The sequence below is a fragment of the Homo sapiens genome, chromosome 11 (assembly GCF_000001405.40).
Source record: "Homo sapiens chromosome 11, GRCh38.p14 Primary Assembly".
NCBI classification, from domain to species: domain Eukaryota; kingdom Metazoa; phylum Chordata; class Mammalia; order Primates; family Hominidae; genus Homo; species Homo sapiens.
In genome coordinates this window covers 99,159,535-99,187,029 of record NC_000011.10, presented here as the reverse complement: position 1 = coordinate 99,187,029, position 27,495 = coordinate 99,159,535, and the positions used below count along the sequence as shown (strand labels likewise).

Here is a 27,495-nt window from a genome sequence, read left to right as displayed (position 1 = left end):
TTAACACTCAACCCTCTTAGATCAGGCAAGATAGCTCTCATTGTCCATTTGACTCACAGGAAATGTTTGAGAACTGGCTGCTCAACCCTCATTTCTCTATCTACTTTGCCCTCTCTCTACTATTCTCTTTTTCCATTCTCAGCCTCAAGGAAGATCAACAAGGGCAATCAGCTACTCTTGCAGGAATTAAGATTCCAGGCTTCTCCTTTCAGCCATCCCCTCTTTTAATAAGTAATACTTTTAGGTATCCCTGTCACTTGATCTCTTGCCTTCCCTCTGGTCTTATTTTACAGATTGAGAAAGTGGTCACTTTTCTAAGAAAAGAATCTGTCCCATTGTCAATGTTATCTCCTTAGAGAATGTGGGTACTGAAAAGCATTTTTTTCTTTAACTTTGTGTTCTTGAAGATAATGCCATCATAGTAGAAAAAGTCACATTAACCATTCTCTTACAGTGGTATATGAGATTGGCAAAAACTCAATTTGAATTAAAATAAAAAACTTTCTTAGAGAAATCTAGATGCTGCAGGCAAAGTATACAAAAACCCAGTTCAATTTTACATTAAGAAATCATGAAAGCTTATCAACAGAACAGTATTTTTAAAATGCAACCACAAATTACCAATAAACAGAAAATACTGTGCCCAATAAAAGCAGAGCTGATATAAAAACTTTAGAATGTCAGTGAACATTACTGCAATCTAACTCTACAAGGTATGAGTGCTATAATGTGAATGAGGGTTTAAAGTAGAAAAGTATTTCTCTCTATTGTGTTTTTAGAAACCTTGAGTAATGGAACTCTTCCTCCTTCTGTGGTTCATAATGGAATAAAATCAGAGAAAAATCTACAATAAATTTTGCTTCATAGGACACATAGGTAGAAATTTATGTTGCAAACTAGATTTTATTTTTATATAATTATCTCTAAGAAAAATTTCTATTTTCTCCCATCTGTTGCTTTAAAAGAATATGTAACATGGTTCTCCATCTGCAGAAGCTATTTTTGATATATTCATAAACCTTTATTTTGATGGGTTATTTTTAAATTGTGATAACATTTCTCTTTATTTTATTTCCTCTCCTTAATTTTGATGGGTTATTTTTAAATTGTGATAACATTTCTCTTTATTTTATTTCCTCTCCTTAATTTTGATGGGTTATTTTTAAATTGTGATAACATTTCTCTTTATTTTATTTCCTCTCCGTTATTTTGATGGGTTATTTTGATGGGTTATTTTAAAATTGTGATAACATTTCTCTTTATTTTATTTCCCCTCCTTTTTTCACCAAAGAGAAAAATATACACTTTCAGCTCCAACTAAGTACAAAATTTAAATCATTAGCTCACATTGTCTAGTTATTGAAACTTTTTAGTTCAGATTTAGTGCATTTATTTCCTTAAAAATATAGTAGACAAAGGGTAAAAAAAAGTTCAATGCAGATCTTAATTAAGGTCATAGGGAAAAAAAACTTTTGAGGATTTCACTGTATATTGTTTTGTACCTAAAGGCAATTATCTTCTAAAAAAGAATAGGCCATTAACTCTGAGTTCAAAGAAATCAAGATATTTTATTTTTTAAGGAATTAGTCTATTTTAGTAATCATTTTCTTAACTATCATTGATTCACCCAATCGAGATTACTTCTTAACCTATCATTTACAAGTTTAATTTTAGGTGTTTTTGTGATCCACTCCCACTATAGATACTCAATAAATATTTGTTAAGTGAATGAATAAAAAAAATCTTTAGTTATCGATTCACCCTAATCAGCCTATTCATATAAGTCTCATGGCACCTCATCTCTTCCTATGCTCACCCTCTCTACACAATATCCTTCCAAATATTACCTGAAAAAGAAAGTCTTTTCCTTTTTTTCTGTTCTTGTTGATATTTTCTTTCTTGAATTTTTGGCTTTTTTTCTGTGTTCTCCAAAATAAAAGATGGGGCAACTTGGTTTCTCCATTCATATTATTTTTTTCTTTTTCTTCTTTTGTATTTTCTTAGGTGTATGTATTTAAGCATCTAATTTATGTCTAACTTCAGTTCAAGTTTCTTTATCATCTGGAATTGATTTATTTAATAGGTTTGATTATTTAAACGTTATACACGATCAAGAAGAATTTCAAAACCAATGACTAGTCTTTTATCAATGAGTTTTCTAAAAATATCACTTTTAAAATTTACAGTGTTAAATTTCATTTATTCTAGCCACTGCTATTTTTAGGTATAGGGCTGGGATATTATTTTCCAACCAGCTACTTTATTTTCCATCATTACACACACAAAAAAATCAGATGTTCATTGTTTCTAAGCAAAGTAATACACTTCAAGCTGTATGGCAGTGTGCCATTTTAAATCATTTTCTTTGCACTTCTTGATAATCATGGAATTATATGATATGACACTTATTAAGTAAGATTCCATAATGGCTATTGACTATTTCAAGTGCTAGATAATAAGCTAGAGGGCAAATATGTTAAAACACTCACTATATAAAATGTTGCAATAAGAGAAAAGATTTTATATGGGTATGAAGGATGGCTGCCTGGAGGAAGAAAGCTGGCAGGATTGGAGAAGATTTCCCATAGCAGTTACATCTGACTTAAATTTTCAAGAGGATTGAGAAATTTGCCAAGTTAAGTGGTGAGAGCAGGAGGCTTTCTGAGCAGAGGGAGTAGCAGCTGTGAGTTCATAAAATTGTAAGAGAACATGGCACACTCAAGTACTGTCAGTAGTTAAGTAGAGACATAGTATAATGAGCAAAAGGTATGTGGGGGAGATGCCAAGAGCACAGATAAGCAAAGAAGAGTATTCACATCCATAATGAAGAAGTAAAATTTTATCTTGAATTTTTCTAAGGGGGTGACAAATACTTTTAAAAACTTCACTATGGTGGAAGTAGAATGAATTAGAAGTTAAAAAATTGAGATTAGGAAAACAGTGTATATTTTAACAGACCAAGCAAACCATAATGACAGCCAGAGTGGAGGCAATGAGAATGAATACAATGCTGCATGGACAGGTTCAAGAAATATCAGATAAGTAAAATTTGTAAGTCTTCATTCATCTATTAGATATGTGAATAAGGAACAGGATAACATTGTTTAACTGACACGGGCAACAGAATGGGTAATTAAACTATTAAAATACAGAAACAAATTTTAAGGTTAAGATATTGAGTTAAACTTTAGACATGGAATTTTAAATGAAACCAGCAAATAAATATCTAGTAAGAAGTTAGCTACATGGGTGTGGAGTTTACGCAGTTAGGTTGGACTAGCCAGTTTCAGAGCTATCTATATATTGGTGGGCCATTAAACCAAAGGAGTAAATGAGATTACCTGAGCAAATGGTATGTCAAGGAAGAGAAGAAAACCGAGGATAGAGCTTTGGAGAATACCAGCACTTTAGGGGTCATTAAGAGAAGACAATTTTGCCAGGAAGGTAAAAAGAAATACCCAGACATAAGAGAAACACCAGAGAAACAAATACCATGAAACTAAGAAAGGAGATAATTTTAAGAGGAGAGGAGTGGATGATTAATGGTGACCAATGTACCATGGGTTTGAGTTGCCTACAGACTGAAAAGAGTCATCTGACTCAGCAGCAACAATAGTTATAATGATCTCTGCAAAAATCACTTCAGTGGAATGTCACTTAGAGGAATAACTTCTATCTGGTTTCTGAAATAATTTCTACAGAATGGTTTGGAGTCCTTGAAATTCTGAATTAAGTTTCATGTATTCTTTTAAAATTTCTCTTCAATAGACAGTATCAGAGGAAATTTCATCACTGCCTGATAAGCAGGAAGATGAGAAAATGTTATGGTGTTGCTTCTAGAAGCCTAAGGACATCTTTAGTGAAAGGTTAGTTTCCAGTAGATAATATTGGTGAGATTAAAACCTTTTGAATATAGTAACCAAAATTGAATGTAATCACCATGACTAAATAAGAAAAATGGTCAGCTAGGAGTCTAAGCAGTCATTGATTCAACAAAATATTTGAGTGGCTTCTATGTGACAGGTCCTATGACAGATGTTTATTTATATATATCACATAATCTACCCCATTATCTACTAATAAACTATTAATGATTAGTTTATTTTAATGCTATCTACTATCCTTTTAGCATCTTCTTGATTGCATATTATATTTTAAATTATGTTAATATTTCATTACACAGTGAAGCTCAACGTCAGGAATTACATGTTAGAACACATGTTACCACTGTATGCTGTAATAGATTTTTATTACTGAAGCAAACTGTTACAATGTTATTGGTATATACTGGCTTGACGACTAAATAAAGGAGCCCGAGTACGTTAAAAACTGGAACTTATTAGAGAGTAAACATTTTATCTTTGATTTCTAATTTTTCTTTTTCTTTGGCCCAGACTTCTTGGATGATGCCCAGAGGATGGAGGGACTCTAGACATCTGGCAATAGAAAAAAACAAGAGAATGTTCTTGATACACTCACCATGTCACAGCATTGCAGAGCTCCTCTAAGATGTTACCCACTTTGGGTAGCTGTATTTTTATCCATAATTTATTAGTGAATTGTTATGAAAAAAAAATGCCTGTGTATAAAGCCACTCTGCCAGCTAATCCCCAGAGGAATCTTTACTGGAACTATTACTTTAATGAACAAAGCATTCCTACAGAGCATGACTGTGAGGTACAACATTCAATAGTGCTTCATTCCTCTTTATTGTCGAGTAGCTTTGTGATAAAATAATGAAAGCAGCATTTACTTCAATTTGACACTCTACGTATACTTTGCCATATCAAATGCTCATTTTCAAACTAATAGTATTAAAATATGAAAAATTAATGGGAAAAAGCAATATCCTCACACTGCCATTGTCACTGTTTTCCATGTTGATGCTCATGCATCTTCGGCTTTCTCTTGACAGACTATTTAATCAGCGGGCAGATCAACAGGGCAAAATTCCCACCATAACTGCAAACTTGAATGTGGATGAGTGGATTACAATAAGTTTAAGTCTTGCAATGAGAGGCATCATAATGTATGGTGATATAATTGATAGTGATTACCAGGGAGAGTTAAAGGTCATTTTATATAATACCACTCCAGATTCTTTTGCTATATAACCTCAGATGCGGGTTGCTCAATTGTTAGTGGTACCTTGTCAACAATTAACCCCCAAGGAAATTTCTGCCCCAATAGAAATAACATACAGAACCGGAGAATTCAGGTCCACCAAAGGGGGCAACTTAAATCTTGGAGCCAAAATATGGGTACAGTGTCCATCAGATCCTGCCCCTAAGGCTTGTGACCTTGTAGCTATAGGGGCAGAAAATGAAGGCATAGTACTATTTCCTAACGAAGAAAAATAATGCATCCTCCCCTCCATTTTTGTTATTACAGAGAATAACCTGTCTGCTAGTAATCAGTACCTGGGTCATCATGTCTTAGGCTGAGAATGAGTTCATCAACTGGGTAGCCACCGTTGCAACGCAAGCCAACTGCAGTCGGTACTGGCTATGTGTGGAGTTGCCGCGGGAGGCCCCCAGGAATGGGCTACCTTGGAGAATCATCCCTGCTAACATTTCTGGATGGATATGCCAATACCAATGGGGGTGGGATAATAACACTTGTAATCCAACCTGGACTTCTTTTAACCAAACAGTCTATTTTGCCCAAACCCAAATGAGACACAGCACCTTTGTTACTTAAATTACACATGACAGCAATACAATTATAGTAGAACTCTTCCTGTTCCCTGGGCGCCCTCTGGGCACGTGGATCCTACGGGTGGCAATACCTGCCCCCACTTGGACGGGGAGATGCACTTCAGGGTGGCCATTAATTACATTCAACATCCAGGATAATAGTCCCCTCCCCAGTAATCTAGATGCTTACAAACATCACTGATTATGAATGCACCAGACCCCCTGGTGGTGGTACCCCATCACAGTATTCTCCCCTGCCACCGGTACAATCCTGCTTCAGCAACAAATTAAAATATTGAGCTTACACGTACAAAAAGCTCTTAATGATAGTAGCACTGGACTTACGTTGTTATAAGATGAATTTGCTCAGCTGCGTACTGTTATGTTGCAAAATCGAATGGCATTAGATATGCGTACCGCAGCCCAAGGAGGGGTTTGTGATTTACTGCATATTGAATCTTATGTGTATATCACTGGCAATTCTCACAATATGACTCTCCTTGCAAAGCCATGGTGGGTGTGGTATTTTATTAATTGTGCTTCTAATTCTCCTGTGCTTACCCCGTATCTGTAATCTATATCGACTATGCCTTCCCTATGTATCTGTAAGGGTATTTTCCTACAATTGAGTATCAGATGGAGGCCGACTGTGAAGGGAAAGTTAAATATTAAATTTGAACTCAATTGAACATGGACACAAACAACAGTCACCAAGTCCCGAAACAGGTTGTGTGAGCTCCTTGAGGCATTCATCCAGCACTGTTTCAGAGAAATCTCTATTTCAATCTATTCCTATATGTTAGTTATCGGAAAACAATAGACAATCACAAAAACAAGTTGACCTTTTTGTGTTCCTTGAGCCCAGTCACAAAGAGCCCTCTTGACTGGACCTTATGCGAAACAACTCATTACAAAAAGAGTTAGGGTCCCAGACTGCGCCGAAACTTCATGAGACCTCTCCTCGCCTGTGCACAGACATGAGTGGCCAACTCTGGAGCCGAGACTGTTGCTTCCCAGTCTGGTGGTGAATCCTCCATAGTCTGGTGAGTGTAAATATCTTTTCCCTTCTCCCTTTCCCATTGCAATTTGCTTATCATATCAATCTGCTTACTGTATCATCTGCTTATTATTATATCATTTGCTTATTATATCAATCTGCTTATTATATCATTTGCTCATTACATCTGCATTGCCATTTACATGGGATAAAGGTTTTTTACCCTTTAAGGTAGTGTGTGTGTGTCTTTTCTTCTCCCTCCCGTGTTTCCCACACAGAACAGGAACTTACTAGGTCGAAAACATTTATTACTACTTAAAGGTAAGGATACCTATAATAAAATATGCTGTTCAGGGAGATATAGAGAGAATATAATATTTTGAATACAGTAACTAAAACATAATACAAAAACGCAAACTGAATAAAAATAGTGGTTGACTTTTCAATGTTTGAAGGATATGAGTTCTATCTAAAGTCACTTACACCCAACACACACATACACAGGAACACACACAAACTACCATCACCACAAAATCTTATTTGGCTACATTACTACAGAAGATATCTGTAACACTTATGTCTCAAAGAGAATGTAGCAACATGAAATTAAACACAATATGAACAGCACCCAAACTGAGGCAAGTGTGGAAATTATTGTGATGTGACTGTCTAAATTAAATTAGAAATAATCCTATTTTATCCTTTGATACAGCCTTTGGGCATATGGATCATATGGCATCATCCTGAGTTGTAGGAGTGGGGTAAATGTAACCATAAAATTACATTAACTCTTTAGAAATATCTATATGAACTAGGTAAAACTAGTTAAATTTCTTTTTTTGTTGTTTTTTATGTTTGTTTTTGTTTATTTTTTATTTATTTATTTTTTACTTTTGAGAGGGAGTCTCGCTTTATCGCTCAGGCTGGAGTGCAGTGGCACGATCTTGGCTCACTGTAACCTCTGCCTCCCAGGTTCGAGCAATTCTCCTGCCTCAAACTCTCAAGTAGCTGAGATTGCAGGTGTGCACCCCTTTGCCCGGCTAATTTTTGTATTTTTAGTAGAGATGGGGTTTCACCATGTTGGCCAGGCTGGTCTGAAAGTCCTGACCTCAAGTGATCTACCTCCCTTGGCCCCCCGAAGTGTTGGGATTACAGGCGTGAGTCACTGCACCTGGCCAACCAGCAGCCCAGCCATTAAATTTCAATTTATATTTCAGTAAGTGTAATGAATACAATTACTGTTTATTATATGAAGGTATATAATGCTTAATATATAAAGGCACAGATATATGCATTTCCATGTTTTACAGGAATGTAAATACATTTGTATATATTATGTGTGTATATCTCTGTGTGTATTTATGTTTATAACCCTGTCCCCATAGTTGTTTCTATTTAAATAACATCATATTTTACTTCAACTTATACTTTCAGTTTCTGGCACAATTTGGGTATTTAAATGCATATTAATGGATTATTTTCTACTCCAAAGTACATATTTCAGACAGCTAATAATCTTTATTTACATTAAATAATTATATAATATTAGAATTGAAAAGATTATTAAAGCTCATAATACCCATTTTATAGATGAATGAAATTAGTCACAAAAAGGTAAATTTGCTAAATGTCACACAGTACTTATTTTTAATATGATTTAAATTATTTGGTTGTGAAGACATTATTCTAACTAAAATTTACTGTAAAGTAAATCTGTATACATTTTTCCAATTAATTATAGATATAAACACCATTTGCATTAATGACACTTATTTCTCCTGTCTCTAAAGATGCTAGGTTTCGTTCTCTTTTTTTTAAGACAAGGTCTCACTCTGTCACCCAGGCTGGAGTACAGTGGTGTGATGACAGCTCACTGCAGCTATAATTTCCTGGGTTCAAGCAATCCTCCCACATTAGGCTCCTGAATAGCTAGGACTACAGGTGCACAGCCCCACACCTGGCTAATTTTGTGTGTGTGTGTGTGTGTGTGTGTGTGTGTGTGTGTGTGTGTGTGTGTGTGTGGAGATGAGGTCTCACTCTGTTACTGAGACTGGTCTTGAAATCCTGGGCTGAAGTGATCCTCCTGCCTTGGCCTCCAAATGTGCTAGGATCACAGGTATGAGCTATGGTGCCCAGCCTAGAGTTGCTAGTTTTTTGTTTGTTTGTTTGTTTGTTTGTTTTAGTTGCTAGTTGAGTCTATACCATTTCTTAGTTGTAGGTCTTGTTTCTGTCTTTTTACTTTCCTTTCCTGTTCACTTCATGTACGGTTACATAATCGATAGTGTTTTAATATATTACAACATAGCAGGGACTTCAAGATTCTCTGATTTTTCTCCCCAAGATCAGCCATTCCAGTTTAAGATCTTGTCCTGTTTTCATATAGTTCTCTACAAAGTTGACTGCTGCTGCTGCTTTTGATGTTAATCTTAGTCTCTGAACTCTATAGAATTTCTTTGACTTTGTGCTTTTGTTTCATGTACATGTATTATATGACTTTGCTGAATTCATTTTCTTTATTTGTGTAGCATCCTGCACTTTGTTTTGGTCTTTTCATGAAAAACAGCCCCCAGGCCTCTGGACTGTGACAACTTGGCCACTGTAGAAAGTTCCTTCACTTTTCATATATACATTTTTTTCCTTCTCTCTGTATAGGCTACACATTCCAGACACGTAACTATGTACTTACCAGAGCTCCTCTTCAGTCTGATTGACTGACTAATCCCACACAGCCTGTTCCAAATCTTTCGATGAACCATAGACATGCATAACACCAAGATTTTGTGTGAGAACAAAACCCTTACTTGAAGAGAAACACATAAAAGTGATTTTCATGAAAACAAACAGATCCTGCTTTCTGGCTTTTCCACCTTATCTGCTTCAGATGTGATAGCAATAGCCCTATTTCGTTAAATGTCTCATTGGTTAACTCATTCATTTATTCACTCATTCAACAAATATTTACTGGGTGTCAACCATGTGCGAGACACTATTCCATCTTCTGACACTATATAGACATTATATAGTGGAGAGGGACAAAAATAAACAAATAAATAAATAGCATATTTAGAGAGTCAGGTGGTGATGTGTTAAGGAAAATTAAGCAAGGAAGGGACCAGAAGTATTGAGTAGTGAAGATACCGCTTTTAAACAGGATCTTAAGCTCTCACTGAGAAGGTGGCACCAGAAAAAAAGCTTGGAATAAGGTTTATTTCCATGAAGAATCCATGGTAAGATGTTCCAGACAGTGGGACTGGGAGTTGCAAATGCCCTAAGGTGGGAAACAAACCTGGTCCTTGACCTGTTCAAGACCTGGATTGATTTACAGTGGGAAGGTCAGAGTTGACCAAACATAGCTAGATAGTAGAATAAAAGTATAAGATGTGGTCAAGGTAAAAACAAGGGCCAAGATCAGGTCAAATTCTGTAAATTGTGAGAGTTTAGACTCTGAAAAAAAATGGAAGTCACTGAAGAATTTAAGCAGAGGAGTGACAGAATCTGATTTGGGATTACTGTGATGGAAACATACTGAGTGGTGGCAGGCAGGTCAAAGGTGGAAGCTCAGGGACCAATTAGAATTTTATTGCAAAGATACAGAGAAGTGATGGCATCTAACCAAGGGTTGTAGTGGTGGAGGTGGTGGGAAATGATTAGAATCTAAAATATTTTGAATGTAGAATCATAACAATTTGCTGACACACTGGAAATGATGTGTAAGAAAAAGAGAAGCTAATAATGACTCCAAGGCTTTTGGCTTGCACAACTCTCAACTGGACATGTGGAGTTGCCATTTACAGAAATGGGGAAGTCTAACAGGAGGAGATAAAAATCTGGAAGGAAAATTATTTGACTTTGATTTTGAGTTTGATTTTGGAAGTATCCATTTTGAGATGTCTATTATACATTCAAGTAGTGAGGTTATGCAGACAATTGAATACACAAATCTGGAGTTTAAGGAAAGGTCTGGAGCAATAAATGTAGAAGTCATCCATGATGGTATTCTATGTCAAGGAAGTGAGGTAGCACAGAGAACAGGAATAATCTAATGACTAAGCACTGAAAGTCTTCAATGTCTCTTAACCTCTCGGTCTGGGACAGAGCCATCTAAAGGAAGAAAAAAAAAGAATGGCTCATGTTGTAGGAAAAAAGAAACACGACAAAGTGATTTCCTAAAACAACAAAAAATGAATGGAAAACAGTATCACAAATCATTCTTCTAAGAACATGAGGACTAAGTATTTGCCATTGGGTTTAGCAGATGTAATTAAGTGGGAACCTTGCAAGAGCAAATAAACCGTCCAGAAACAAGGTAAGCATTGTTTTGTGGAGAAGAAAGAAAATAATTGCTAGAACCATGGACTTGAGATAATAGTGTCTTGAGTTGTGGTGTAGTATCACTGAAACCAAACCAGCTGAAACTTTTAAATCTTCAAATAATTCATACCAATTTTGTATGTAATATACCCATCATGTTTATTCATCCAAATTCATAATTTCCAACCATCTAGTAGCTGCAGTTCTCCTAGGTTATCTCTTTAACTTAGAAGATTTAAAATTGTTGAGAAAGAGCCCTTAAATAATCATGCCAAAATTACATCTGACCCCTCTATAATTTTTGCAGTTTATCTAATGGTAGATGCGAGGTCCATCAATAGGGAAAGTTTTTCTGGGGTTTCCAAGATCTCTGGCAGAAAGAAGAAGACATTTTTCATTTAGTGTTCCTAATGAGTTGGGATATGAACTCCTGCTTCATTATCTGGGGTCTGGTCCCACATCATATCTTGTCTCTTCTCATGTGAGTTTTCCTGAATAGGATTCCATTTTTAATCAAACAAAACTATCTCTTCATCACTTCTAAAACAAACTCCTGTTTCCTTTCCTTCTAGTAAGCTCTAAAGGTTGCTAGAACAGTCTGGATTTTTCCTGCTCCCACTGTGCCTTCAATTGTGATTATCTGACCTTTTCTCTGTCTTCCTCTTTTCTTCTCTCTTCATTTTCACAGAGCTATGTTGTCCTTTCTTCCACATGACAGTTTGGTACAAGACCATGAACATTCATGAGTAATAAACCCTATTTATTTTTTATTTTTTTATTTTCTGTTTTGGGAGGACAGAGTCTCATTCTGTTGCCCAGGCTGGAGTGCAGTGGCATGATCTCGGCTTACTACAGCCTTGAGCTCCTGGGCTCAAGCAATCCTTCTGCCTCAGCTTCCCAAGTAACTAGGACTACAGGTGCATGCCACCATACCTGGCTTCTTTTTTCATATCTTGCAGAGACTAGAGTCTTACTTTGTTGCCAAGGCTGGTTTCAAACTCTTGCCCTCAAGCAATCTTCAACTTCAGCTTCACAAAGCACTGGAATTACAGGCATGAGCCACCATGCCTGGCCTTAAACCCTAAGATTTTGAATACATTAGAGCTAATAACTATATATGAATTTAAAGATAGAAATTATAATTTTTACATAGCCACAGATACAATTTTATCACATAACAAGTATAATAGTTGGAAAATTCTGTGATTACCGCATTAATAAGTTAATTAATGAAAAATATATTTTATGTATAATATATAATTTAAATTACCAATTTAATAACTAGAATGGATAGTATTTAAATAATAAATTATGGGCATAATAGTGCCTAACATTTGCATAGTGACATAGCAATTATGAAATGGCTTCACTATATCAAATGGACTTTCAATTAGTAGAGCCTGATTCTGGACTTCTACACTGTTGCCAATATGAGAAAAAATGGACTTTGTACTGTCCTCCATGTAGTCTATGGGGTATGATAAAGAGTTTTTAACACTAGACAGAATTTGAAATTCGGATAGCTTGACCAGTTAATGAATTACTCTGAAAGGCTAGGAAGAAATGAATTATCCTCATTTGGAAATCACGGGTACCATGTTGAGCTCACTAAGTTAAAAATGCATTATCTTATAATAGTCTTTATCTTGCTAATGATATAACCAAGTCTAATTGGAGAGAAAGAGAGAGAGACAGAGACAGAGGAAACAGTGTCTTAGAAGTCATTCTCGCTGGGCGTAGTCCTCATGCCTGTAATCCCAGCACTTTGGGAGGCCAAGGCAAGCAGATCACTTGAGGTCAGAAGTTTGGGACCAGCCTGGCCAACATGGTGAAACCCCGTCTCTACAGAAAATACAAGAATTAGTCAGGCGTGGTGGCAGGCACCTGCAATCCAAGCTACTCGGGAGGCTGAGGCAGGAAGATCATTTGAACCTGGGAGGCGGTGATTGCAGTGAGCCAAGAACACGGCCACTGCACTCCAGCCTGCGTGACAGAATGAGGCTCCATCACACACACACACACAAAAGGCATTTTTGACGCTTCTTCTTTCCTTATATTTAATATAGTTAAAATACTGAGTTCTATAGATTTAACCTCCTAAATAGCTCTTAAGTGTATCAAAAAATTATAGAGCCACCATCCTTGCTTAGGCTACCATCTCTCTTGTCTGGGCTGCCATAATAGCCTAATAACTGATATTCAGGCTTTGATGGCTCCATTAAATATTTTATTCAAATAGCGAAGTAGTCTTTTTAAAGTAGGAATTTGACTATGTTCCCTCTGATTCCGATTGTTGAGTCTAAAACAGTCACTTATGACATACCCTAATGTCTTCTCTAGCCTGCTCTCAATCCTTCTTCTCACCTTTTCTATGTAATAATCCACATAATTGTTCAGAAAATTGTTCTGTGATCATTTTGACAAATATGACAGATAACTATGTATTTAGTCCCAGTCTGCCCCAATGAACAGAAACCTGCCTTATAACCATTACGTTTCTCAGTATGAATTTGATATTTATCAGCTGTCCTTCTAACAATAAAATCTGACCAATAATATCTAGTAAGAAATATTGTGGAACATATAGAGAAGTCTCCTTAAAGTAAAACATTATGTCTTCTTTCTCTTTTTCCATTACTGGCTGAATGTACTTGGGATGGCTTGGTTCTAGCTAGCATTTTGGACCATGTGGGTGACAGCCTCAACCTGAGGCTTTTAGAAGTCCCAGAATACCTTAGCATTACTACCAAATGAGCCATAGACTATCCACTTAAAAAGTCCTCTTATTTGAGGGAAAATTGATATGGTTTGGCTGTGTGTCCCCACCCAAATCTCATCTTGTGACTCCCATAATTCCCACATATTGTGGGAGGAACCCAGGTGTGAGACGATTAAATTATAGGGATGGCTCTTTCCCATGCTGTTCTCATGACAGTGAGTGGGTCTCACAAGATCTGATGGTTTTAAAAATGGGAGTTGCCCTGCATAAGCTCTCTCTTTGCCTGCTGCCATCCACATAAGATGTGACTTGCGCCTCCTTGCCTTCTGCCACGTGGAACTGTAAGTCCAATAAATCTCTTTCTTTTGTAAATTTCCCAATCTCGGGTATATCTTTATAAGCAGTGTGAAAACAGACTAATACAAGAATTATACTTAAATCTCAAATAAGTTACTATTTTGGAAATCTCCTTGGCTCATGATGGAAACAAATTCTCACTGGTGTACAGTTTTTCAGATCTTGGCTCAAGTGTCACTTCTAATTCCCCAACTAGGACAGATTTCTCTGTTAAGTGTCCTTCTAGAAGTCAACTTCTTTCATTCGGAATATTTGCCTGTTCATAACTATAGATTCATTGTTGTGCTTATTTAATTAATATTTTATTCTCTACTTGGTTACTTCACAAAACTTACCTATTTCAAATCTTGCAATTAACTTAGGTGAGAAAATATTGCAACATTTTTAAGATACAAAAACTGAGCTTCAGAGATGTTAATGTATCAATGAAAATTTTCTGACTCAAGTTTGGTGCTCATTTCATTATTCCACAGATGTCTCAATAAAAAATATTAGGCACAATTTTCTCATCAAAAGGTGCAATACATTTTTTTGATGAAGAGGAAAAGATTAATTTAATTAAACGAACTTATTAAACAAAATGGAAATCTTGGATACGCAATTCTTTACATTTAAATGTATACCAATGATATTCTTATAAATAAATTGCATTTATGTTTACCAAACATTTTCACACAGTATCCATCAGTCATTTTTGCAGTTACTCAGAGATTAGTGTAATTATCTTATTTTTGTATAAAAAGAAACTGGGTCTTAGTGATTTTAAATGATTTAAGCAATATCACTATGCCACAGAGGCAGAACTGCAACGGTTATCCAAAGTTTCTGACACGCTGCTTCTCACTATATCTGCCTTCTGCATATAAAGCATGTAAAGATCTGTTTCTAAATGTCCTTTTGTATTTGCTGACATGAATTTATATAATGGTTATGTTTCTGGCTTCAAAATGAAATTGCTCACTTTGAGGAATTTCATTAGTACTTGGCCACATGAACATCAATTTGAGTCCCTGTGCTCGGAAGTAACTTTCCGTTGCTCCTGAATGAAATTCGCGTATTATTCATTCTCTGGGACTAAAATCCTCAAAGTATTCTGAAAATGCTACTGTAACTGAAAAGTGCCAATATATTGTAATTATTGATTATTAATACTTTAATGATAATAACAGAAAGAGTAATAATAAAAGTGTCATGGAAACACTGAGCAAAATGGTTCTTAACAAGAGAAAACACTGGCATAACACGAAGAGTTTTTTTCTTAAATGCATATTCTGAAAATCATTTTTAAAAGTTCTGATTCAGTAGGCATTAGTAATTCTTTCGAAGCACTTCAGGTGACTTGATTGTCTTGTTTCTACTTCAGCTGACTCAGAAATTCATCATCTAACAAACTACAAGGAAACAGGACATAGAGCAGGTAAATTTTTATGGGGAACAGTGGTTAAAAAGCAAAAAAACTGGAGTACGTGTTACATGACAATGAGGAATTGGCTGGGTAACCAAGGAATAAGGAGGAGGAACTGAATGATCAGATGAGACAGTACGAAAGACAGAAAAGATTTAGAAGAATATAAGCAATCTGCGAAGCAAAATTAGGCAGTTAAAACTTTTGTATTGGAGAAAAACATCCTTGTGTACATACAAATTTTGACATCACTCTCTATGCAAATTTTGTGTGTGGTCTAGTAGTATATAATGTTGCTTGTTTTTTATTAGTACATTAATAATTGATGGCATATGTATCTATGAAATACATTTTTAAATAAAGTTAAGCATTCAAGTATAAAGTACAAAACTCATGAAATGCAGGCAAGAATTCTCCCAAATAATATTAAGTTAGATACGTGCAATACTTTGGATTACAAGTTAGGTAAGAAAAAAAAACTAATATATTCAGTGTATGTGATGCAGTCATGTTAATGATGATAATGAAAACCATAACTTCTGTAGGTCTTGACTTTCTATTTTTAAAGTTGCAGCCTTAATATTGCATTAGCATATTCTTTCCATTTAATTTAGAAATGTGTTTCTAAAGGTTGTAAATTGACATGACATTACTTTCTTAGCTTTGTGGTAACACCATGACTTCATGATCACTGACTATTTAGCACTGAGAAAACAGGATTATAAGGAATTGAACTTATATGTGTGCCTGCAAAATGCTAATGTGGCAGCTGCCTGGAGCCTGCAGTCTGCTTTGGATTAAGAAGTAAAATAAAATTGAATATGCATTTCCTCAGCCTTACTTAATCACTTACAAATCACTTGTAATAGAAAACAAAAAAATGCTTCTGTTCTACTTTGCAACCTAGAAACATATGCTGTTTTAAATGTTATTTTTCCCTCTCTGGCTCACCCTATCTCAATTAAGATATTCATTATATCCTTTTTACTATTGGGAATCCGTTGATTCCAAGACATAGGCGTAACAGAACTAGAAGCAATCTTACAGATCATTTAATGCAATTTACTTATTTAGACCTTAGAAAAATAAGCCCCTTAGAGATAAAGTGATTTGTCCTAGGTTAGACATCTTGCAAATTACAAAGCCAAGATTAGACCCACCTGTCATAAGAGCCTGCTGCTGGTTTTCAACCTTCCTTGGTACACATCTGACTGCGACCTTTGTGTATATTAACCTGTGCGTCCTTGGGAAAGATACTTAAGCTCTCTGAGCCTCATTTTCTTGATCTGAATCTACCTCATAGGATTGCTGACAGAATGAAGTGAGTTACTGAAACACTTAGAGCAGTGCTTGGTTCCATATATATTATCTGCTATATAAACGTAAGCCATATATACACAAAATATTAGTAACCTATAATATATTGATAAATTAAATAACATGCAAAATAAACAAATAAAATATAAAATATTCATAACATGTAGCACAAAAAAACTGATACACAATATTAGTGATTACCATCTGGAAAACAAGAAGTAATCTTTGTCTTTCCCCAAATTCCCATTGACTATTAATTTTCGTTATACATTATACAGCTTTTCTTTATTGAAAAATTATGTAATTATTTAACTGAAATATTTACAGGATGTTTACTCAGTTATCTGTATGATTTCTATACCTAGATAAACTTTCAGTCTTTGCATGTTATTTTATCCCTAGTTTTATACATTATGTTATCTCTGAGGTGAGGATTATGTATAACATTAGGGAGATAATGTTTTTCACCGACTAAAGTGATTTATATAAAACTATGAGTTTAATCATTTGCATGTAAACCCTTTATCTTCCTCTTTTTGAAATTTTCTTTCTCTTTACCCCTTACTACTGTCTCGTCTTGGGCCATCACTTCTATTAAGGAGCCGATGCAAAAGACAGTGGTAATCCAACAGCTTCTTCTCTTTCCTCAGTGGATCAAATACTTGTAAGGATCATTATTCTTCTTATTAATGGCTCATAGGTTTCATCAACCTACTTTCTTTCTTTTCCTCTTTCATTTCTTCTTCATATTTCTTAAAGTGTTATCTCACAAAATCATATATACACACATATGTACGTATTATGGGCATATGTGGAAAATTATCTATACTAAATACACACACACACACACACACATATAGCTTATTGCATATCTACATGCTTATTTATATCATCTCTCCAAGTCATGACTATAAAATAGCACAGGAATTCCAGGACCTCTAGATTATTTACAACTACTAGTATATGAATATTCAGGGATCACTCTGGAAGCCTGCCATAACTATTAAGTCATGAGTAATTTTTCTCAAACAGAAAAAGTTTTCTAAAATAAGGGCAAAGTACATGTATCTGTGTTCTAGTATCAACGGCCATGTTTTGTTTATGAGGCCTGAGATGCTACTCCCAGTCTTTATTTCACTCCTTAATTAACCCAAAAAGAACAAAAGACTAAGTCCTACATGTACAGTTCATAAAGCTCTTTAATATTTGTTCTTCATGTCAGTTGTGCGAAGAAAGAATAGAAACTAACACCATGTTCCAGGTGAGCATCATGCTCAGAGAGCCTCTGCTACTTCCACAAAGGTTAAAAGCTGATAAGCACAAATGTTCAAATCAAAGTCAGATCTGCTCATTTAGAATTCAGTGCTATGTTCCCAAGAAAAATCTTTCAAAGATATCCTCTATTTCTTCTTCTTCCATATGTGCTTGCTTTTCTGTAAGCATTAATAGTTGCCACATTTTAATATATTTTATTCAATTTTGCCTTAATGTTTGTTTGATTACCAGTATTGTTCTGTGTTGTCTGTGATAATTCAGTGAAAAAATACACCATTTCTGTTTGTCTTATCAAAGGTAGTTACGATATATTCAGAATTTCTAGCCATAACTTGTACATTTCCTATCCTTTTGTTTTGTTTTGTTTTGTTTTGAGATGGAGTCTCAGTCTGTCACCCAGGCTGGAGTGCAATGGTGTGGTCTCAGCTTACTGCAACCTCTGCCTCCTGGGTTCAAGCGATTATCCTGCCTCAACCTCCCAAGTAGCTGGGACTACAGGTGCATGCCTCCATACCTGGCTAATATTTTTGTATTTTTAGTACAGACGGGGTTTCACTATGTTGGCCAGGCTGGTCTCGAACTCCTGACCTTGTGACCTGCCGTCCCCCCACCCCCCCGGCCTCGGCCTCCCAAAGTGCTGGCATTACAGGCGTGAGCCATCACACCCAGCCTCAACTTGTACATTTCCTGTACAAAAATACATTCATATGGTCAGGTGTGGTGACTCACTCCTGTAATTCCAGCACTTTGGAAGGCAAAGGCAGGCAGATCACTTGAGCCCAGGAGTTCGAAACCTGCCTGGGCAACATGGTGGAAGTCTGTCGCTACAAAAAATATTAAAAAATAGCCGGGCATGGTGGTGTGTGCTTGTAGTCCTAGCTACTTGGGAGGCTTGGCAGGCAGTGGGGGGAATCCTTTGAGTACAGGAGGTGGAAGAGGCAGTGAACCCAGATCACATCACTGCACTCCAGCCTGGGGAACAGATTGACATGCTATCTCCAAAAAAAAAAAATCATTATAAGAATAAATTTTTAAAAATAGGCTTTGGGGTCAGATCTAATTTTTTAAATTTTATGTTGTGAATATTACATATAGCTGTTGATATTCAAGCCTCATCTCATTATAGTTATATCAAAATAGATTATGATACATTATGATGAAACTTAGTTAAAAGTTATACTGGAGCCATATTAGATCTTGATATATTAAAGATGTGTTCATTTACCTTATATTAATTATAGAATGAATAAATTCATAAGTTCTTTCACACCCCATTGTCACTCACAAAACCCCATCCTTGATAGTGTTAGTTAGATAATGGATCACTATGAAGAGAGTAACAGAAATTCTAATTTTGGTTTTGCCTCATATGAGATTTTGCATTCCCAATAGAGCATATCACAAATGTAATTAACTCTCAAGTATCATAGCAACTAAAATTTAATTTTAATAAAATGATATATTCTGTAGCTGCATTTACAGTACAAATAAAAATAATCATAGGCTAGTTCAGTATAAGTGTTGGTCAAATTAGCCACTGATAATAATAGCAAATATTTGTATAATTCCTACTTTTTTACATACCAGCCTAGGAAAAATCAATTTAACTATATAATTTACATAATGCAAAATATATCTGCTTATCTATGTCTATCTACCTCTTCCCTTTTAACACTAAATTATGAGTCAGTTTGTAGGAATTTTATCAAGTCTAACAAAATATTTTTAGAAACAGCAGAACCACAGAGAACCCAAATCCGAATGTTAAGATTGAGATAAAAATAACATAAAATGTTTTACAAGCTTTAATTTTATTTATAAAAATTATGGTTCATTCTTAAATTTGGCTGTAAAACTTCAGACAACCAAAACAAAAAGAACCATATTCCTGTCACATACTTCTTAATTAATACAGAAAAAGTACACAGCAGCCTCAGAAGTAGCAAAGCTTTTCAAGCAATTAACTCTAAAGGTAAGTATTCACTTGCGCTTTACAAAAATGTAGTGGATAATGTTTTAAATAACATTATGCAACATTTTAAAATCATTAAGGCTGTTTCGTGTGGATTTTTTCAATGAAAACATGAAATTAAATCAAATGTAATTCAACGAAATATGTTCTTCAAACAGATCTGGGGCTTACGGGTCACCATGACCACAGTGAAATGAAAAAACAAAAACCAAAAAAAAAAAGAAAAAGGAAAAATTGAAATTGTGACCACTGTAAATATGACAAGCATATCAAAACATTACTGTGTCAGCTGTATAACTATTGTTCAAGTTTTAATATGTTATGACAGTGTAAGTTGATGATTTTCAAAATTAATGGAGGATATAAAATCAAAGAAAGTCTATAAATGCCTTGCATGCATTATTCTATGTCATTCAGGTTGTCTTTTACTCCCTCTAGTATACATTTAGTACACAATTTTTTTGTTTTGGCTTAGTACTGGAACTCCTTTCCTGAGAGGCTTAAGGAAAATTACCCATTTTTACACTATGCTCAAACCCTTTGGAGTCTTAACATAACTACTCTTTTTTTTTTTTTTTTTTTTGACAGAGTCTTGCTCTGTGGCCCAGGCTGGGTGCAATGGCGCAATCTTGGCTCACTGCAACCTCCGCCTCCTGGTTCAAGAGGTTCTTCTGCCTCAGCCTCCAGAGTAGCTGGGACTACAGGTGCGTGCCACCATGCCCGGCTAATTTTTTGTATATTTAGTAGACATGGAATTTCACTGTGTTAGCCAGGATAGTCTCGATCTCCTGATTTGTGATCCACCCGCTTTGGCCTCCCAAAGTGCTGGGATTACAGGCGTGAGCCATCGTGCCCAGTCATAATTACTCATTTTTACACTGTGCTTCTAGTAGGGAACCAAATATAGTTCAGGCGGTCATTTTTCAGATTGATTCAGAAATAAAATTGTAAATATCCAGATGAAAGAACTGGCTGCCCAAAGATTAAACATTCATCATATAGTACTAATATAATACAAAATTTAAAGGTGGATTATGCTGAATATTAATGTTGACTTCTCAACCATCATCCCACCTCAGATGACGGGTCTAAGTCAATCTTGGAAATTGCTTATTTCTTTCTAATGATAGCTGGTCAGTGTGATATGAAGGTTGGTATACTAGGAAGCTTCTAAGAAAATCTGCCTCAACTGGAGGAGGATTATCATTTCTAGATGCGATCTCTTATTTTGACCTGAGAAGGAAACCAACATTAACCATGGAAAGCACTGAAACAAAGTGGGAAAATGCAAAAACCCTGCATTCTATAAAATAATTGAGCAAAGAAGTCAAGCATCTCTCAAATCTGTCCTCTCTCTGCATTACTATGTGAGGCAATTAATGTACCCTTTGAGTTGGGTCTTGTCATTTGTACCCCTGAACACCCTCATTAGCACAAAAATAAATGTTCATTTAAAAATAAAGTTGGTGTCCTTCCTCTCCTCTCCCCTCTGGGAAACACTGTATTTACAGACGGCTAGTGTAAAACCAATTAATTAGTAACCAAGTGTAACTATGCCAATTAGTATGCTACCAAAAGGCCTGACATGCCAAATTTGATCTTCCTAAATAATAATATTACTTGGTTGTACCTAATAATTAGACTCCCCTAATTTGTGTCTGAAATATTGCTTACTTAGTAAATTTAGTGAATGACTCTTTTATCGTTTTCAGAATGATAGCCTCTATAAACAAAACTTAACTTTCAACTGTGTTTTATGAATCCTTATTAATGGTTTAACAACATGTGAAACAATCACAACAACTATCAGATTTACAACCTCATTAACTACTGATTGGTAGATAAACGCTCATTTGCAATAAATTTCATTCTAGTACCAAAAATGCATTCATTAAACCACTGGTATAAACCAGATTATTTAAAGAATGTTTGCTAGTGTTACCCAACAACTAAAAAAAAATTGAAGAAATTAACTGGACAAGGTTGTATTGCCCATATTAGTTTTTCAAAGGTAAAAAGATGGCATATTTCTGTTTAGATATATACACACACATATGCACACAAACATCTCGCTATGTAGAGAGACAGCGAGAGCTCTTTCTCATCTTATGTTAACTTATAAACATATGAATACACAACATGTGTACCAAACATACAATATATGCATGTTTCACACACACATGCACACACATAATCATACTCAACTTGTGCTGCATAATGAAATAATCAGTGTCTGAAAAAATGACAATTATCCAATTTTCATGTATTATTTTACATTCTTATTTATAAAATTATCAGGGAAAATAGCATGTACTTACAGCTTATAGATATTTGTATATGTTAATATTTATACTAGAATTTTCATTTCTCAAAATAATTTTACTCTGAATTTAAGCACATTAAGAGTAAGTATGTTACTCTGCAGAGCAGAATTGTACTACGTAACTATATGATACATGAAGGAGTTCTAAAAATGAAGCACCAATTAATTGAATGTTCATAAATATTACAGTTTATTCTAAATTTTTAATTTTTGGTTTGTTCTAACCTAGCTATTATAGAGTTTTTTAAAGTATTGTATTGCTCTTTAGGTAAGTATATAGATACTTCTCACCTGACCATTTTTCAATTGCAACTCTTTTTTTTTTTTTTTTTTTTGAGATGGAGTGTTGCTCTCTTGCCCAGGCTGGAGTATAGTGGCGCGATCTCGGCTCACTACAACCTCTGCCTCCTGGGTTCAGACAATTCTGCCTCAGCTTCCTGATTAGCTAGGATTACAGACAGGTGCCACCATGCCCTGTTAATTTTTGTATTTTTAGTAGAGACAGGGTTTCACCATGTTGGCCAGGCTGGTCTTGAACTCCTAACCTCGTGATCCACCCGCCTTGGCCACCCAAATTGCTGGGATTACAGGCATGAGCCACTGCGCCCTGCCCAATTGCAACACATTTTTTTGACATAATTTTATATCAATCATATTAATCAGATAAGTCAGCTGAGCTTTTTAAAGTCATGTTAATGTATGACCTAAAAATACAATAAATTTGCAACAAGACAAACCACTTACAACTAGTTCCACACTGCATTGTTTTCACCTCCAAATAAGAGATGTCATAACAATAAATTACTTGCTTACACAAATAGTAGTGGTACACTCAAAATCTCTGCATGGGAACAAAGGTAGGCTGAGGTTAAATGTGACATTCAAACCGGCTAATGAACTGTACACAGTTTTAATGTATAGCATGTCTAGTAATTCTTATATGGATTATTAAAATCTGAAACTGCCATGATTCTCTAAATATTATGACAAACTTTATAACATAACAGGGAAAATAAGTTTCAGTTTATTCATCAAATTAGAAATAAATAAACTTTAGGTAAAGAAGTATACTAAGAAATATATAAACAAAGTATGACATTATTTAAAAATTTGTTAAAATGGAGAATCTAATGATCTGATAATATTGGTAACTAATTTCATTGAGTGTTAATTGAAAAACAGAAAATTGAGAAATTGTTAAATATTAAATATTTCTTATTAAAATAATTGGAGAAAACTAGCATACATAACTCAAATAATATTATTCTAGTGAACAACAAATCTTATTTACTAGTATCTAATTCAACCAAAAGGAGTAGCTTTGTTAAGGCCTTAGAAAACTTTTTGTTTTGTTTTGTTTAAAATAAATAAAATAAAATGTACTCTAGAAAACAACGTAAATTTATTTTCCTTCTAAGAAGTCATATCTCAGTAAAATTAAAGGAATGTGACCTAATCAATAATCAGAAAACATTTTAATATGAATAATTTTGAGTTATTTATGAATTTCCAATTACCCAAGAGCCATAAAAACTGTTGAACAACCTGCGAGGTCAATAGGTGATTTGTCAAAAGCAGCAAATCCTATTTTCACTCTCCTATTTCCGTAATTTCTTCTGAAAAGGCAACTTCGGTTGTGAAAAGAGAAACTAAAAGCAGAGTGTCGCATATCAAATTAAGAACACTTAAAAGAAGTCTATCACCTGACCAAATTCACTGTGTTTCTAAAAACAAAAGGTAAAACTTACCCGTTTAAATTGACAAATGGTTGCCTTGAATCTTTCTTGTAGAATCATGATTAAAGGAGTTACCTGTCTTCACATTCACTGATCATTTATTTATACAGTATCAAGGTAAAAATTGTAATCCATTTATTTGATGAGTGGGGCTAGAGAGTATTCACAGCCATCTTCAATCAAATGGAAGAAACTAGTCATACCTAAGTCAAGTAATATCTACCTCATAGCTGTGCAACTTCAGACAAGCTACTTTGATGTTCTTAGCTTCTCTTTCTTTGTATGTAAAATAGTGTCTGTTAATATCAGATAATGTATTATAGGAAGAAAATATTGTACTGAGAAAATTTCATAAATATTTTCTTTCTGTATTGGTCAGTAATTTTAGTCAATAAGAGGTATATTTTAATGCAAGGATTGAAATCCAGAGATAGATGGTTTCAGTCTTTGATTCACCAAGCATGACCCAGAATTTTCCCGTCAGTGACATGCTTAATTTCATGCTTAGGTTTATTGCCTCATGGTCTCAAGATGATGTAGCTTCAAGCACCAGGAGTTCATCTAAAAGCGAAGCAAGACAGTGAAAGAACAAAGTGCATTTTCTACAAAGGCTCTCTTCTTTTATCAATGAAAAGAAAAAAAAAACATGTCTAGGAACCCTCAAGCCAACTTTCTCTTCCTGGTGTTTTACTGGGGAGAACTGGGTCTTATGCACAGAAGCCAGAGAAAACAAATATCATCAAAACAGGACAAGATAGCTCTTTTTAGTTTAGATCAACCATGCCACGCTCCCAGGGCAGACATACATTTTCTTTCTAGGAAAAAAAAAGGAGGTTCTATTAACCAGGGTAGTCTAGGGTTGTAGAAGCAATACACACTGCCTGCTATACTTTTATAAGTATTATAGTAGTAATCTGAGCAAGATAAGCACAAAGAGGGATTAATTCTAAATGGATGTTAGGTAAGGCATCATAGAAACAATGGTGCTTGACATGGATTTTGCATAGTGTTTTACTTGAAGAGTGATGAGGAGAATAGCAGTCCCAACAGTGGTAAAAGTGTGATTAAATATAGTCTCAGTGGCAATATGATATTAGCAAGTTTCTTGTTCTAAACATCCTCAGAATTCAATCTATGCTTTGCTACCTACAATGGTTTCTGACTTTTTAGTCAGTGTCTGTATAATTTCAGAATTCTGTTTGGCTGCCAATGATAGAAGCCTGGGGAAAATGGCTTTAGAAAAATTAAGGTTATATTTTTCTCACTTAAATAAGAATTTTGGAATCTGGCAGTCCAAGGCTGCTATGATGGTTCCATAATGTCATCAGGAAGCTGGTCTCATTTCAGCTTTCTGCTCTACCATTCTTAAAGAGCAATGCAACTCTCCATGCTCGCAATTGGTTTTGGGAGCTCAAAGACATCCCCATCCGAGACTTTTAAAGGGCCTCCTATAAACACCCCTCAGTGACTTCTGCTTTTATCTCCTTGGCCAGAACTGTGTCATTTTACTATCCTAGAATTAAAAAAAAAGTGGAGAAGTTTATTTCCTTAAATGTGCTGCTCTGAAAATACATAAGATTCTGTTATTAAGGAAATAAAAAGTATTGGGTATGCAGTTAGAAGTATCTGTCATAGAGTCTCAAAAATATTAATATTCAATACTGTATACAAACAGTTTTTAAGTATTCCTATCTATATATTTCAAGATTTTTTATAATCATGCTTCCTACTCACATTTGCAGTAATTAACATGCAAACAAATATTAACTAAATTAATGTAGATATCAATCAGGGACTATTCTAGATTCTAGTGAAATGAGAGGAATATGATGTGGTTTCTTCTCTAATGGTGTTCCCTCCGTGGTCCACTTTTTCTACACTCAGTTTCTGTCACAAACTTTCCCCAAATTCACAAGTTTTTAATTGCAATATATAGATTTGTACCTGGTAAACTTGTTTCCCAGTATCCTAGTCATTAATACCATATGTGTATTATAGGAAATTACGTGATCTATTCAATCAGAGTTCATTCATCATCTTTCTGCCCTTCTCTTGGCATGTAATATGTATCTCTTTCTGCCATTTAACAATGTTTTTGCCTTAAACGTAACTGCTTGTGTCTTCTCCCTCTCACTGTATTTTGAACTCCTTGGGTCAAATTCTGTGTCTTACTCATCTTTGTATCTTTGCCAGTGCTTCAAAGTAAGTGTTCCATAAATATGTGTAGACAGTTTTTGTAATCTATAGTTACCTTCTGTCATCACTAGATGGCAAGTCTGCACTGTTGGGGTTTCAGACTAATTAAGTTTACTCCCCTTTGTGCCTTGGGGTGTAATTAGTTGGTATAAATGGTGATTAGTAGTTCGGTACAGCAAAAAGTAAAATATATATCATTTAAGACAATCCTAGTGATATGTTTAGGTGAGGTACAGTGTAAAAATTGGAGACTAGTGCAAACATGGCCAAGTAGAAAGCAATTCACAGACTTATTAGGATGATGGAAAGAGGTACTTTTATGATTTCACCCCACATATAGCTTATGTCCTTTGCAGAATACTTGCCATCAATGTATATGCTAAACTAAACAAAACAAAATATTGCACATACTTCAGGAAATCTTTCCCCAAATGTTGTCATAACATAAGCAATGAGCTAACTATATATTTCCCAAATTATCAACAGTCTAAGACTGGTGTTTGAAAGTAACACTACTGGCTTATATCATTTTTATTTCTTAAGCTAGCCCAAGTACTACAAAGTCCTCTATGAAACAGTGGCTGGAAATATTTTAGTCTCAACGTCAGAATAACCAAGAGACGTTCCTATATTACAGTTTTAATATTATATTTAATTGTGTAAATTCTTTTAATATAGTTTAAATCTCATGAACACAGAGACTACTCTTGTTTTGTTCACCTGTGCTCCCTGTGTCTAAGACATAACCAGGTGTACAGTGGGAGGTTGATAAATATTAAATATCAAGTGCCTTTAAAATGAGATTTTCTGACAATTAAAGCAATTCTTGTGTTGAGATTATTATATTACAGAACAGGACATTAATCATTAAACAACTTCAAATAACTAGCAACCAAAATTTATGAGGTAAAATACGTACTTCTCCTATATTTTCCTCTAGTTATTAATGTGATAATTTACCAGTAGAGCTGAATTTATTATCCCTTATGCCATTGAATTTTTAAAAATTAATGGAACAATCTTTTTAAGAATTGTCTTTCAAGATATTGCTTCCCTTGAGTTTTTTAGATTACTATACTTTATTTGTTTATTTATTTATCTTTTGAGACAGAGTCTCGCTCTGTTGCCCAGGCTGGAGTGCAGTGGTGCAATCTCGGCTCACTGCAACCTCCACCTCCCGGGTTCACGCCA

General features: G+C 35.0%; 1 protein-coding gene across 11 annotated transcripts in view, besides 1 other annotated feature; it reads right to left on the bottom strand.

Moving 5' to 3' along the window:
* Nucleotides 1-27,495, bottom strand: part of CNTN5 (contactin 5) — a 1,337,937-nt gene that overhangs the window by 1,171,856 nt on the left and 138,586 nt on the right. The gene's annotated exons all lie outside the window — the stretch shown is intronic.
* Nucleotides 20,707-20,876: an enhancer, noted in NCBI's record as "experimental_22004 CRE fragment used in MPRA reporter constructs". NCBI's record gives its function as "activates a minimal promoter by MPRAs in K562 erythroleukemia cells, with activity observed for the non-introgressed 11:99036970 variant allele {active_cell/tissue: K562}" and the evidence as "EXISTENCE:reporter gene assay evidence [ECO:0000049][PMID:34662402]".